This window comes from Homo sapiens, chromosome 21 (assembly GCF_000001405.40).
Source record: "Homo sapiens chromosome 21, GRCh38.p14 Primary Assembly".
Lineage (NCBI taxonomy): Eukaryota > Metazoa > Chordata > Mammalia > Primates > Hominidae > Homo > Homo sapiens.
Genome location: NC_000021.9, coordinates 37,097,967 through 37,114,558, shown reverse-complemented (window position 1 = coordinate 37,114,558; position 16,592 = coordinate 37,097,967). Strand labels below are relative to the sequence as shown.

The following is a 16,592-nucleotide window of genomic DNA, read 5'->3' as shown; positions in this document are numbered from 1 at the left end:
TTTCTCCACATCCTCTCCAGCACCTGTTGTTTCTTGACTTTTTAATGATTGCCATTCTAAATGGTGTGAGATGGTATCTCACTGTGGTTTTGATTTGCATTTCTCTGATGGCCAGTGATGAGCATTTTTTCATGTGTCTGTTGGCTACATAAATGTCTTCTTTTGAGAAGGGTCTGTTCATATCCTTCGCCCACTTTTTGATGGGGTTGTTTTTTTCTTGTAAATTTGTTTGAGTTCATTGTAGATTCTGGATATTAGCCCTTTGTCAGATGAGTAGGTTGCAAAAATTTTCTCCCATTTTGTAGGTTGCCTGTTCACTCTGATGGTAGTTTCTTTTGCTGTGCAGAAGCTCTTTAGTTTAATTAGATCCCATTTGTCAATTTTGGCTTTTGTTGCCATTGCTTTTGGTGTTTTAGACATGAAGTCCTTGCCCATGCCTATGTCCCGAATGGTATTGCCTAGGTTTTCTTCTAGGGTTTTTATGGTTTTAAGTCAAACATTGAAGTCTTTAATCCATCTTGAATTAATTTTTGTATAAGGTGCAAGGAAGGGATCCAGTTTCAGCTTTCTACATATGGTTGGCCAGTTTTCCCAGCACCATTTATTAAATAGGGAATCCTTTCCCCATTGCTTGTTTTTGTCAGGTTTGTCAAAGATCAGATAGTTGTAGATATGTGGCACTATTTCTGAGGGCTCTGTTCTGTTCCATTGGTCTATATCTTTGTTTTGGTACCAGTAACATGCTGTTTTAGTTACTGTAGCCTTGTAGTATAGTTTGAAGTCAGGTAAGCATGATGCCTCCAGCTTTGTTCTTTTGGCTTAGGATTGACTTGGTAATGTGGGCTCTTTTTTGGTTCCATATGAACTTTAAAGTAGTTTTTTTCCAATTCTGTGAAGAAAGTCATTGGTAGCTTGATGGGGATGGCACTGAATCTATAAATTACCTTGGGCAATATGGCCATTTTCACAATATTGATTCTTCCTACCCATGAGCATGGAATGTTCTTCCATTTGTTTGTATCCTCTTTTATTTCATTGAGCAGTGGTTTGTAGCTCTCCTTGAAGAGGTCCTTCACATCCCTTGTAAGTTGGATTCCTAGGTATTTTATTCTCTTTGAAGCAATAGCGAATGGGAGTTCACTCATGATTTGGCTCTCTGTTTGTTATTGGTGTGTAAGAATGCTTGTGATTTTTGCACATTGATTTTGTACTCTGAGACTTTGCTGAAGTTGGTTATCAGCTTAAGGAGATTTTGGGCTGAGACGATGGGGTTTTCTAGATATACAATCATGTTATCTGCAAACAGGGACAATTTGACTTCCTCTTTTCCTAATTGAATGCCCTTTATTTCCTTCTGCGTGATTGCCCTGGCCAGAACTTCCAACACTATGTTGAATAGGAGTGGTGAGAGAGGGCATCCCTGTCTTGTGCCAGTTTTCAAAGGGAATGCTTCCAGTTTTTGTCCATTCAGTATGATATTGGCTGTGGGTTTGTCATAGCTAGCTCTTATTATTTTGAAATACATCCCATCAATACCTAATTTACTGAGAGTTTTTAGCATGAAGCGTTGTTGAATTTTGTCAAAGGACTTTTCTGCATCTATTGAGATAATCATGTGGTTTTTGTCATTGGTTCTGTTTATATGCTGGATTACATTTATTGATTTTCATATGTTGAACCGGCCTTGCATCCCAGGGATGAAGCCCACTTGATCATGGTGGATAACCTTTTTGATGTGTTGCTGGATTCGGTTTGCCAGTATTTTACTGAGGATTTTTGCATCAATGTTCATCAAGGATATTGGTCTAAAATTCTCTTTTTTTGTTGTGTCTCTGCCAGGCTTTGGTATCAGGATGATGCTGGCTTCATAAAATGAGTTAGGGAGGATTCCCTCTTTTTCTATTGATTGGAATAGTTTCAGAAGGAATGGTACCAGCTCCTCCTAGTACCTATGGTAGAATTCGGCTGTGAATCCATCTGGTTCCGGACTTTTTTTGATTGGTAAGCTATTAATTATTGGCTCAACTTCAGAGCCTGTTATTGGTCTATTCAGAGATTCAACTTCTTCCTGGTTTAGTCTTGGGAGAGTGTATGTGTCGAGGAATTTATCCATTTCTTCTAGATTTTCTAGTTTATTTGCGTAGAGGTGTTTACAGTATTCTCTGATGGTAGTTTGTATTTCCATGGGATCAGTGATGATCCCCCCTTTGTCATGTTTTATTGTGTCTATTTGATTCTTCTCTCTTTTCTTATTAGTCTTGCTAGCGGTCTATCAATTTTGTTGATCTTTTCAGAAAACCAGCTCCTGGATTCACTGATTTTTTGAAGGGTTTTTTGTGTCTCTATTTCCTTCAGTTCTGCTCTGATCTTAGATATTTCTTGCCTTCTGCTAGCTTTTGCATGTGTTTGCTCTTGCTTCTCTAGTTCTTTTGTGATGTTAGGGTGTCAATTTTAGATCTTTCCTGCTTTCTCTTGTGGGCATTTAGTGCTATAAATTTCCCTCTACACACTGCTTTGAATGTGTCCCAGAGATTCTGGTATGTTGTGTCTTTGTTCTCGTTGGTTTCAAAGAACATCTTTATTTCTGCCTTCATTTCGTAAGTACCCAGTAGTCATTCAGGAGCAGGTTGTTCAGTTTCCATGTAGTTGAGCGGTTTTGAGTGAGTTTCTTAATCCTGAGTTCCAGTTTGATTGCACTATGGTCTGAGAGACAGTTTGTTATAATTTCTGTTCTTTTACATTTGCTGAGGAGTGCTTTACTTCCAACTATGCGGTCAATTTTGGAATAGGTGTGGTGTGGTGCTGAAAATAATGTATATTCTGTTGATTTGGGGTGGAGAGTTCTGCAGATGTCTATTAGGTCCGCTTGGTGCAGAGCTGAGTTCAATTCCTGGATATCCTTGTTAATTTTCTGTCTCGTTGATCTGTCTAATGTTGACAGTGGGGTGTTAAAGTCTCCCATTATTATTCTGTGGGAGTCTAAGTCACTTTGTAGGTCACTAAGGACTTGCTGTATGAATCTGGGTGCTCCTGTATTGGGTGCATATATATTTAGGATAGTTAGTTCTTCTTGTTGAATTGATCCCTTTACCATTATGTAATGGCCTTGTCTCTTTTGATCTTTGTTGGTTTAAAGTCTGTTTTATCTGAGACTAGGATTGCAACCCCTGCCTTTTTTCGTTTTCCATTTGCTTGGTAGATCTTCCTCCATCCCTTTATTTTGAGCCTATATGTCTCTGCACGTGAGATGGGTTTCCTGAATACAGCACACTGATCGGTCTTGACTCTTTATCCAATATGCCAGTCTGTGCCTTTTAATTGGAGCATTTAGCCCGTTTACATTTAAGGTTAGTATTGTTATGCATGAATTTGATCCTGTCATTATGATGTTAGCTGGTTATTTTGCTCGTTAGTTGATGCAGTTTCTTCCTAGCCTTGATGGTCTTTACAAATTGGCATGTTTTTGCAGTGGCTGGTACCGGTTGTTCCTTTCCATGTTTAGTGCTTCCTTCAGGAGCTCTTGTAGGGCAGGCCTGGTGGTGACAAAATCTCTCAGCATTTGCTTGTCTGTGAAGTATTTTATTTCTCCTCACTTATGAAGCTTAGTTTGGCTGGATATGAAATTCTGGGTTGAAAATTCTTTTCTTTAAGAATGTTGAATATTCGCCCCCACTCTCTTCTGGCTTGTAGAGTTTCTGCCGAGAGATCAGCAGTTAGTCTGATGGGCTTCCCTTTGTGGGTAACCCGACCTTTCTCTCTGGCTGCCCTTAACATTTTTTCCTTCATTTCAACTTTGGTGAATCTGACAATTATGTGTCTTGGAGTTGCTCTTCTCAAGGAGTATCTTTGTGGTGTTCTCTGTATTTCCTGAATTTGAATGTTGGCCTGCCTTGCTAGATTGGGGAAGTTCTCCTGGATAATATCCTACAGATATTTCCAACTTGGTTCCATTCTCCCCGTCACTTTCAGGTACACCAATTAGACGTAGATTTGGTCTTTTCACACAGTCCCATATTTCTTGGAGGCTTTGTTTGTTTCTTTTTATTCTTTTTCTCTAAACTTATCTTCATGCTTCATTTCATTCATTTCATCTTCCATCGCTGATACCCTTTCTTCCAGTTGATCGCATCGGTTACTGAGGTTTGTGCATTTGTCACATAGTTCTCGTGCCGTGGTTTTCAGCTCCATCAGGTCCTTTAAGGACTTCTCTGCATTGGTTATTCTAGTTATCCATTCATCTAATTTTTTTTCAAAGTTTCTAACTTCTTTGCCATTGGTTCGAACTTCCTCCTTTAGCTCGGAGTAGTTTGATCTTCTGAAGCCTTCCTCTCTCAACTCGTCAAAGTCATTCTCCGTCCAGCTTTGTTCCATTGCTGGTGAGGAGCTGCGTTCCTTTGGAGGAGGAGAGGCACTCTGATTTTTAGAGTTTCAGGTTTTTCTGCTCTGTTTTTTCCCCATCTTTGTGGTTTTATCTACCTTTGGTCTTTGATGATGGTGACGTACAGATGGGTTTTTGGTGGTGGATGTCCTTTCTGTTAGTTTTCCTTCTAACAGCCAGGAGCCTCAGCTGCAGGTCTGTTGGAGTTTACTGGAGGTCCACTCGAGACCCTGTTTGCCTGGGTATCAGCAGCAGTGGCTGCAGAACAGCAGATGTTGGTGAATCGCAAATGCTGCTGCCTGATCGTTCCTCTGGAAGTTTTGTCTCAGAGGAGTACCCGGCCGTGTGAGGTGTCAGTCCGCCCCTACTGGGGGGTGCCTCCCAGTTAGGCTACTCGGGGGTCAGGGACCCACTTGAGGAGGCAATCTGCCCGTTCTCAGATCTCAAGCTGCGTGCTGGGAGAACCACTACTCTCTTCAAAGCTGTCAGACAGGGACATTTAAGTCTGCAGAGGTTATTGCTGTCTTTTGTTTGTCTGTGCCCTGCCCCCAGAGGTGGAGCCTACAGAGGCAGGCAGGCCTCCTTGAGCTGTGGTGGGCTCCACCCAGTTCGAGCTTCTGGGCTGCTTTGTTTACCTACTCAAGCCTGAGCAATGGCAGGCGCCCCTCCTCCAGCCTCGCTGCCACCTTGCAGTTTGATCTCAGACTGCTGTGCTAGCAATGAGCGAGGCTCCATGGGCGTAGGACCCTCCGAGCCAGGTGCGGGATATAATCTCCTGGTGTGCCGTTTGATAAGCCCATTGGAAAAGCGCAGTATTAGGGTGGAAGTGACCCAATTTTCCAGGTGCCATCTGTCACCCCTTTCTTTGACTAGGAAAGGGAATTCCCTGACCCCTTGCGCTTCCCCGGTGAGGCCATGCCTCACCCTGCTTCAGCTCACACATGGTGCGCTGCACTCACTGTCCTGCACCCACTGTCCAGCACTCCCCAGTGAGATGAACCCAGTACCTCAGTTGGAAATGCAGAAATCACCTGTCTTCTGTGTCGCTCACGCTGGGAGCTGTAGACTGGAGCTGTTCCTATTCAGCCATCTTGGCTCCACCCCTACCGAAATAGTTTCTTATTTCTATTGGCCATTCAGGATTACTCTTCTGTGAAATGCTTACTTGTTTTACTGGCCCATTTTCTACGGGGTTTCTTATTTACTTTAGGAATTATGTGCATATTCCAGCTGTAAATCCTACCAGTTATATATGTGGCAAATTATCTCCTCTCAAACTACTATTTCATCTATGGTGCCTTTTGACATACACAAGTTTTTAAGTTCGATATAGCCAAATATATCAAGATGGTTGTCTTCACTGCTGATTTGTGCACTGTGTGTTAAGAAATCTTTTCCTGCCTCCTATAAAGACAGCCTCCTATACTTCCTCCCCAGTTTTAAGTCATTTTTCACATTCAGGCACACCCACCCAGAATACGCAGAGATGACCTCTCAATCACTAAGGCACCCTGAAGACTCAAGATGCCCACAGGCCACCTGTCCTCACGCACAGCCTGTCAGTGCTGTGGCTGGGTCCCCACGCTGATCATGGATCTGATGACTCCCCTTTCACATTCTGGAGCTCTACGTAATTTCATATAGCATTTTTATGAACAAACACACCCTATAAACAGATTTTTCACAATGTTGTATGGCATTATTTGCTCAATATAAAATACAGAAGAAACCTACCTTTGGCCAAGTGTTCTTCAGAATAGTGGCTCTCTTTCCATCACCGAGTGCATTTCTAAAAGGAAAAACAAGTATTTAAAAATTTTCACTCTTTTATAGTAAAAGTATTATATCTTGCATATGTGTACTTTGTGAATTTTCCATGTATATTATCTAGTCAAAAGATAATTTTAATTAAAAAAAATCCATATAATATATGTCCATTATAGGAAATTTGGAAAATACAGAAAAATAAAACAAAGGGAAAAAGTCACCCAGAGTCACAATCACAACTACCCAGGAATAACTACTTTTAATATTTCTGAAGTATTTCTTGCACATTTCGACATTGTACCTATGCATAGCATTCTTTTGTTTTTTTTGAGACAGAGTCTCGCTCTGTCGCCCAGGCTGGAGTGCAGTGGCGTGATCTTGGCTCACTGCAACCTTTGCCTCCCGGGTTCAAGTGATTCTCCTGCCTCAGCCTCCCAAGTAGCTAGGATTACAGGCACATGCCAGTACACCCGGCTAATTTTTTGAATTTTTAGTAGGCACAGGGTTTCACCATGTTAGCCACGATGGTCTCGATCTCCTGACCTTGTGATCCACCCGCCTTGGCCTCCCAAAGTGCTGGGATTACAGGTGTGAGCCACCATGCCCAGCCAATAACATTCCTATTTGTATGTTTTTCTGTACTATTTCTGCATGTCAGTAAGACTTTCCAAATGTATCACTACCAGGTCTTTCACACAACATCAGTTAAGCTACACTGAATAGAGCATGGAAGCTAGACCATAAGACCCAGGTTAGGTCTAATTTAATCACTAATTTTCTTGGGGCTATTAGGGAGTTATTAACATCTCTGGGCCCATTTTTCTCATCTGTAAAATGTAAATAATTCTGTTCTACCTGTTCTGAGGTAGATATTAAATTAGATACTACATTATTAAATGTACTTTCATAACCTATCAAGAACTAACAGATCCATACCACAGTCTATCAGTTTCCTGGCTTCCTTATCTTCAATGACTTCCACCTCTAGCCCAACTCAGCCACCCATCACTGCACCCCTGGAACTTAGGGTGTTCAAACTCAAAACTGTTCAAACTTCAAACTGTTCAATCACTAATTCAGGTATCCACCTCTCACTATAACCTTGCTTATCCCATTTAACTTGTTCAATTGTTCCTATCTCCTCAGGGTACCCAACTCACTGACTTATCCACCTTCTTTTTTCAACGTAGATTAATATTTGCTGGTTCATCATTTCACATTCATATTTATGCTAATTCATCACTCTTAAAGAGATTACAAGGAAGAACAAAACTAGATAACTTATACTACCAGATATCAATACCTACTAAAAGGTTACGTACAAAAAAAAAAAAAAACCAACTAGATAAGGATAGACAACCTGACCAACAAAATAGAACAGAGAAACTAGAAATGGATTCTTACACATAATGACCTGATTCGTGACAAAGGTGATACTGCGGTACATGGAGAAAATATACTCTTTTAATAAATGGTGCTGGGTCAATTGGACATCCATATGGATCTTTTTTCTTTTTTTTGAAACAAGGGCTCACTCTGTCACCCAGGCTGGAGTGCAGTGCCAGTCCCTCTCACTACAGCCTTGACATCACAGGCTCAAGCGCTCCTCCCACCTCAGCCTCCTGAGTAGCTGGGAATATAGGCACATGCCATCATGCCTAGCTAATTTCTGGCTAATTTTTGAATTTTTTTGTAGAGACACGGTCCCACTATGTTGCCCAGGATGGTCTCAAACTCCTGGGCTCAAGCAATTCTCCTGCCTTGTCCTCCCAAAGTGCTGGGAATACAGGCATGAGCCACCGCACCTGGCCCATATGAATCTTGAACACTACCTCACACTAAATACAAACACCAGGTCCAGATGGACTGCAGATCTGTACATCAAAGTTGAACAATTAAACCTTTAGATGAAACATAGAAAATCTGGTGACCTTTGAATGGGTAAAGATGATAAACAGAACACAAAAAGAGCTTATCACAGAGGAAAAAACTGATAAACTGTACTACATTAAAATTAGTAACTTGTTTGTGAAAACATCAACAGTGAAAAGGCAAGCCACTGAATGTGAGAAGATATTTGCAATACATATATCTGACCAATGACTCATATTCAGAATACAAAAGAAAAACTCCTAAAAATGAATAGGGCATTCTACTCAAGAGAAAAAAATAGCAAAAGACTTCAACAGGCACTTCACAAAAGAGAATATCCAAATGGTCAATAACCTTATGAAAATCTGAAACATCCTTAATCAATTTATGAAAATACAAATTATAATCACAGCGGTATACCACTACACACCCACCAGAATGTCTAAAATAAAAGATGAAAAATAGTAAGTGTTGAGGGCACAGAACTGAAATTCTCATATGCTGCTGTAAGAGTACAAAATGATACAATCACACAGGAAAGCTAAATGCATATAAGCATACCCTCTGTCCCAACAATTCCACTCCTTAATTATACACTCAACAGAAATAAATACATATGTTCACAACAATACTACCTGTAAAAGCCAAATAGGAGAAGCTACCCAAATGCCCATCAACAATAGAATGGATAAAATGTGGTATATTCATGCAATAGATGAACACTTTACAACTACATGCAACAATATGGATCTCAAAAACGATGCTGAAAACCAAACATAAAAGAACACATAGTATATTATTTCATTACATTGTACTAAAATAGGCAAAATTAACCACTGGAAGCCAGGATGGTAGTTCTCCTGGGGGAGGAGATGGATCATGACTAGGAGGAGGGTCATGACTAAGAGGAACTTCTGGGGTACTGGGGTTGTGATCTGCATGCTGGTTACAGTTGTTTGACTTCTGAAAATTCCAGCTGCACTTAACACTTGTATACTTTTCAGCATGTGTATTAAGATTTTTTTTAAAGGACATAAGACAAAGTTGTCCTTCTTCTGCTAAAGATGTCTGAATTACAGCAGCCATCCTACATTCTGAGGGGACAGCCTGAGGACCAAGTCACACACTGAGGCTGGAAAAATCTAAGTCTCTGATGACATTGTTGAGCCACTGAATATACAACCCTAGTGCCACCTTCTTCTGGAACTCTTGAATAAGGTAAGTTTTCTTTACCATTTAAAGAGACTCACCCTGGGTCTCTCTCCCCAAACACCTTTAAAAGCTGCCTACGCTAGCTGTCTCCATTTCCTTGCATTTCTCAACCCCATCTAATTGGCATGTTTCAAGCTTCCCACTGACAGCTCCCCCTAAGGTTAGTGAATGATGTCCATGTTGCCAAATCTAAGTTCCACTGTAACTGGCTTCTCAGTAGCCAACAGACACTGCTGACCACTCTTTTACTTACTTCTATGACACCACACTTAGTCTTTGTTCCACCTCTCTGGTCACATCTTAATAATCTCCTGGGCAGGCTCATCCTTCTCCAATTGGCCATATGTGTTCAAGGCTCAATCCTGATTCCTCTCCTAGTCTCAGCCTAGGTTCTCTCTAGGCCAGTGGGTCTCAACCGTGACTGCACATTAGTACCATCTGGGGAGTTCCTAGAAGCCCAATGCCCAAGCTTTACTCTAGGTTAATTGAATCAGAATCTCTGGGGTGGGTGGTATTTGTCAAAGTTCAGTGATTCCAAAGTGCAGTCCAGGTTGAGAAAAACTTCTCTGTAAGCAGTCTCACCCACATCTACAACTTCAAATCATGGAGGCTGGCTATTCCAAACATGTTTCCCATCCAAACCCTCCTTTGAGTTCCAGACCCATATAACTCACTACCTACACAACATTGGAATTTGGATGCTTCAAAGGCACTTCTTTCTTTTTTTTTTTTTTTTTTTTTGAGACGGAGTTTTGCTCGTCGCCGAGGCTGGAGCGCAATGGCGCTACTTTGGCTCACTGCAACCTCCGCCTCCCACGTTCAAGCAATTCTCCTGCCTCAGCCTCCCGAGTAACTGAGATTAGAAGCACCTACCACCACGCCCAGCTAATTTTTGTAGTTGTAGTAGAGAAAGGGTTTCACCATGTTGGCCAGGCTGGTCTCGAACTCCTGACCTCTGGTGATCCTCCCACCTCGGCCTCCCAAAGTGCTGGGATTACAGGCGTGAGTCACCATGCCTGGCCTTCAAAGGCACTTCGATTCAGTGTCCGAGAGTGAAGTCCAGTTCTACCTCCTACAAATTTATTCCTCTTCCAGCAATCCCAATGTGAGTGAGTAGGCCCATAATCCATGATGCTGCTTAAGGCAGAAACGTCAGAACAGTTCCAACCACCTTCACTCTCAAGTTCCAACACCAACCACGAGCAACTTCTGTCAGCTTCACCTCTAAACTCTTGAATCCTTCTACTTTTCCATTCCCACTGTCAATATTCTGCTGGAAGCCATCATCTCTGGCCTGGGCTACTGCAACAGCCTCCTAACCTACATCCACACTACATCCCCTTCAGATCCATTTTCACTATGCTCAAATTTTTTTTTTAAGTGCTAATCATGCTCTCTCTCCTCAGTTTAAAATCCTTTACTTTCTTATTGCTCTTAAAGGCCAAAAGCCTTAACACAGCCTACAAGGCCCTCCTTGGCTTAGCCTATGAACATACTACCCTCTCCTCTGTATTCAGGCCATCTAGCAACTATCAGTTCCACAAATGCAACAAATTCCTTCCCACTACAAGGCCCTCACAATGCCAGCCCACTGTCTGAAACACAGAGGCTGTTTTTGCTCATTTCTGACATTATCCATCAACAGAACCCCAATATTTGTTGAATCAATGCTGAACATTACTTATAATATATAGCACTACAAACAGCGTTATAATAGCATATATTATAAATATCACAATTAGTATATGAATGCAATTAATATTAATACTAATAAAATTTCACATTTACTGGCATATGACCACATCCTACAACTAAGGCAAAGTGGGCATAGTCAATTACATGATGCTATTGCTCATCCAGACCACTGCAGCCCAGGGTCTAAATAATCAGGTTTGACTTTTGGTAGCAGCAATCCCCTGTGCAAGAGATGTATGAAAATGGGACAAGACTCCAGATGCAAACGGTTATTTACTCTTGAAGACTGTGTGACATGGTGAGTATTAAACAGAGTAAGAAAGAGAGTTCTAGTCCAGGTGCTCCAACTTATTGCTCTTACATAGGGAAGTGTTTTTATTTCTCCAGCCCCTCCCCATTACTGCATATAAAATATGCTACATTCTGCCCTAAAAGATGATGCTTGTAAAGAACAGTTATTCCCTCTCCCCTAGTTTCCATGTGGATTTGCTAATTATTCCTGAACTCTTTCCTCTCCCCACCCTTGGCTAACATCCCCAGATGATGAATAATAATTTATCTAATGGTGAGGGAGGGACACTAATCATACATGGCTTCACCTCTTCTTTTTCTCACTCTTTGGAATCCTTTTATTTTTTTAGACATGGTCTCACTCTATCGCCCAGGCTGGAGTGCAGTGGCGCAATCTCAGCTCACTGAAACCTTTGCCTTCTGTGTTCAAGCAATTCTCTTGCCTCAGCCTCCTGAGTAGCTGGAATTACAGGCATGCACCAACATGCCCACCTAATTTTTGTATTTTTAGTACAGACAGGGTTTCACCATGTTGACCAGGATGGTCTCAAACTCCTGACCTCAAGTGATCCATCCGCCTCAGCCTCTCCAAGTGCTGGGATTACAGGCACGAGCCACTGCACCTGGCCTTACTCTTTGGAATCTAAAACACCAGATTCCCTTTTCTTCCAGGCTTAAAGTTCCCAAGAGCCCAGTTCTGTCTGACTGTGGGTGAATTATTAGGTTGGTGCAAAAGTAATTAGGGGTTTTGCCATTATTTCTAAAAACCACATTTACTTTTGCACCAACCTAATAGTAACCAGCCCCTTGACTATCAGACTTAAGGCCTGTTCTCCAATTGCATCAGTAATAAAGGCAATATTTGATCACCATTTGCCTGTCTTTTCCATCCATCTTTTAACTGATTCTGGACTTGGAAGGGAAAGGAGATGCTATTTATTGACTCTCTTAAACCATACCATAAAAAGTATGCAAGAATTTTGCAAGCCATATAAGGGATATTCCTTTTTTCCTCAATTATAATTATTTTCAGGATATGACCAGATCAATAAAGAAATAACAACTATTCCCCAAGTTTCCAGATCTTCCAACTAAGGAACAAAAGCAAGATTCAGGTATAATGGTCAGTCACTGACAAATATGCAGTGAGTAATAACCACGGACTGAATAAACATACATTTTAAATAAAAAGTGTCTGTAATTAAAATGATATGTTCTTTCATTCATATATCATGAGTAAAATAAATTTATCAGAAATGTGTCCTACAGATATATTTGAACCTGAGTGTAAAACATAAGTAAAAAGATAATCATTGCATAGGTATATATAATCTTTAAAATGGAAATCTACATACTAATATATCTATAATTTAACATTGTAAATAAAATAATCTATATACTAATATAAACTAATATATATATATAAACTATATACTAATATAATACAAACTAATGGATTACATAGGCAATCCATTCAGTAAAACACTGTGCAGCCATGAAGAACAAGGTAGGTCTCTATATACAGATCCAAAACAAGCTCCAAGACTTAAATGTAAAAAAAAAAGCAAGATGTACAACAGTGTATGTAGTATGTTCCTACCCATTTAAAGAAAAAGACATATACATTACATTAAACCAAATAAAACTGCCTATATTCTGACTTACAAAAATGGCAATTTCATCTGGTTCAACATAAATGCTTGTATAGGCATAAAATATTATGGGAATACACAAGGATCTGAAGAGATGAATCAGAGGATGGGTCAGAGCTGGCGAGTGTACCTTTTCCTACTCTGTTGCTTACCATGTGCATTTGTTACTGTTTTTTTAAAAAGGGGGTATACCCCAAAGAAGACTGAAAAAAGTAAATGTTTTCTTCAAAAGCAAATTCAGTGGCTCTAAGTAAAAATAAAGAGCACACACCAGAGGGCAGAGTGAGGAATAATTCACCAAACCAACACACACACACACACACACACACACACACACACAAGAATTTGTGAAATTCTCACAGAAACATACAGTGCTTTATATCTCTAGTCTTCCAGAAATTTAGGGGGGAAAAAAAGCAACAAGAGAAGAGTTAGTTAAAGTCTATCTGTCTGCTACCAATCACAGTTGGGATCTGATGGAAGGCAGTTATCATGTGATGGGTAAATACTTAAATGAATACCAACAGTTCAAGTAAACACCAAGTTTAAAAATACATGAGTTTCCAAAGCAATTCAAAAACGATTCAAGCTAAGCATTCACTTTCTCCAATTAACATTTGCCCTTACACAGTTCATCACATCCCACCGAAGAATCTGAATTTTCCACGAGTCTCACAAGAATGAACTGAACACTAAGTGGGCAAAGCCTAATCATGTACATTACATAAGCTGTTGGAACTGCAGAAGGTACAGATATGACTGATTCCTTTGTCCAGATTCTTGACTAAACTGAAAAGTTCTGATTACTATAATTACAATGATCACTCTCAAATGCCCTATAGTTACCAACTCATATTTGAAAAGTACACTTTGAGAAGGAGCAGAATAAAACGGACATCTCATCTTCTAAGCCAGGTGTCCTGGGATAAACACAATCCTCAATGTGAAGATTTGAAGGGGAGAGGCTGCGGCAGGAGTGGGGGCGCAGGAGGCAGCGCAGTTCCCCAACCCCTGCCTCATTCCAACCCCATCTCCTGCGTTTTCCAAGCGCAACATTCGCAGGCCCAGGGGGGTTTTGAAAGGCTCTTGGCCTAACTTATATTCACCCAAAAGTGGTTGGATTTACAAACTGTATGACTATTTTGGCATTAAAATCATCACTGCCACTGCCACCAGAAGGAAGCATCTGTTTCCCCATATATACCTCACCTCAGGCTTCCCCATGCACACTTCACGCTTCTGCAACTGGCCTTACAATACTTATATTTCTCTTTTCAAGATCATTGTTCACTATTTTATCCTTGATGTTTAGTGGTCACTGTTTCTGTTCTTTTTCTGTTCCTTTTATCATGTGCATTTTAATTACATTTTGTTTTACTTTTTATCAAATATTTCAAGTATACATAAAAGTACAGAGAACATTAACAAAATGAACACCCATGTACCAATGGCATACCACCTTAGCAAGAAATTAACATGTTGCCATATACTTCAGCTCTTTTTGTAGTAGTTTGTTACAGTTGACACCCACCGTGTACCACCCCTCCCAACTCCAATCCCTTTTCCCTCCTTCTCTCCCCAGCCACTCCCCGGGTGTTTAACATGCCCATGCATTTTTAAACATTGTTAATACACAGTCTGTATATATGCATATTGTTTTGCATGTTTTTAAACATTAATAAATGGCATCACAGTGTACAAATCATTCTGTGACTTGCTTTTTCACTCAACATTGCGTTCATTTTAACTGCCATATAGAATTCCATTGTATGAATATACCATATTTATCCATTCCCCTATTGATGGCCATTTAGGTCGTTTTCATTTCTTTACTCTTACAAACAATGCTATCATGAAGGCATGTACATATCTTCTTGGGTACACATTTGAGAGTTCAGAGGATATGAGCCTAGAAGTGGGTTGCAGAGTATGCACATCTTCACCTTGTCAAATTGCTCTCCAAAGTGATTGTACCAATTTACACTTTCTCCAGCTGAATATGAGAGTCTCCTTTGTTCCACATCCTCTCAAACACTTGGTATTATGAGATTTTTAAGCTTTTGTCCATCTGATGGGTATAAATGAGAAACTCGTAGTTTTTAATCTACATGTCCTGGAAGGATAATCATTTCCTCATAAACGTTTATTGACTATTTAGACCATTTATTTTTTAATTTTTTCGACTTTCACATTCCCTTTTATTCTATCACCACCTTCCCATAGTGATTAATAGTAGAGACTCTACATCCAGGCTGCCTGGGTTCAAATTCTGGCTCCATCACATCCACCTAGTGTCCTCAGACACTTTGCTTGGCCTCCCTATACCTGTTTCATCATCTGTAAAAAGGCAGTAGCACCTACCTCACGTAGTTGTGATGGTTTTACGAGTTAATACACATTAAATGCTCAGAACAGTGATAACCATGTTGTAAGATACAGTATTATTATTTTTACCCTTTTAGATATCAATCTTGCCAAAGTTCTTTTTTAAATTGAATCTCTTTTTCATTTAAAGTTTCAACTTATATTTTCTAATCTTTCAGGATAAATTAATTATTTCAGAAGTTTTAGCATTCAAGACTTTAACCCTTTTATTCCTTTCTAGTATTAAATTGTCCCATTTCTGTTCTCTTTGGACATCTCAATTCTTGCTTCAATGACAGCAGATAAGAAGTCTGGCCTTCCAGAACAGCTGAGGAGTGCATCCTCGCCAAACTGGGGGAGGGTGGATGCTTTACCCCCAGCTGTCCCTGCAGCTGCTCAGCCAGATTTCCACAGCAGATCCAGCATCCCTCTGCTTGGGAGCTTCAAAACATCTTAATCTCAGTAACTCAGATAAAAGTCTTTCTCAGGCATGGGTCCTCCTGTGTCAATGGCACATCTGAATTACTGGCAACGTGTTCTTTCCTTAAGTCACACCATCTAGTCACCTGATCAGGAGTTATATATACTATGGACTCTGAAAACATTATCCCTACATTACTGAGCAAATCATATAGACAATGTGTGAGGAGGTAGGAAACACCAGCAAAACCAGTGTGGTAAAACACTTCGTGAATAAAATAGGCATCCAATATATATTGGTGATTGCCTAATAAGAAACAAAGGAACAATGCTGCTGACCTGGCTTTAGTGAAATGTAGATGGTATTAAACCACAAGCTAGACCATCAGCAAGGAGGTACAAGGATAGATCCACAAGCTGCTCTTGGCCTTTACCTCACCAAACTACCTAGCTTCTGTACTTCTACTCTGATTCACCTCCTGTTGCAGCAAGGTATTAGAAGGATCTTCCTTGTGTGTCTAGCATTCAACACTCATGAAAGAGAGCAGAAACACCCTGGTGTGCCTCTCAGCTCTCAGAAGTGGAAAGTGGAAAACCTTCTGCCAGGCAATATTTCAGACAGGCACCTCAATTTTCACAAGAGGCTAGCCAAGTTGCCAACCTATTCATCTGATCTTGAAAGCATACAAATTCACCTTCAAACAGCACAAAATAAATGCAATTCTGGACCTAGCCAGTAGCAATAACCTAAAGACATGTGCAGCTCATTTCTTGTCAGAACCCGTTGAGGACAGTGGTATTGATGGAAGACTGTGTCAAGCCCATCCATTCCTCTAGTCTAGATAGCCTCGGTTTATCCACGGCTTAAGCCATCTAAAAGCTGCATAACGTTAATACAGCGGTATTCTCCAAGGTGGTTGGATTACTGGTGATTTTTATTT

General features: G+C 40.4%; 1 protein-coding gene across 10 annotated transcripts in view; it reads right to left on the bottom strand.

The window, feature by feature from the left end:
• TTC3 (tetratricopeptide repeat domain 3) overlaps positions 1–16,592 on the bottom strand; it is a 129,865-nt gene that overhangs the window by 88,560 nt on the left and 24,713 nt on the right. For all 10 annotated transcript variants that reach the window (NM_001320703.2, NM_001353936.2, NM_001320704.2 and 7 more), the window contains one exon: positions 6,113–6,167. In NM_001320703.2, the coding sequence (NP_001307632.1) occupies positions 6,113–6,167 (55 nt within the window). The remainder of the gene's footprint in view (positions 1–6,112; positions 6,168–16,592) is intronic.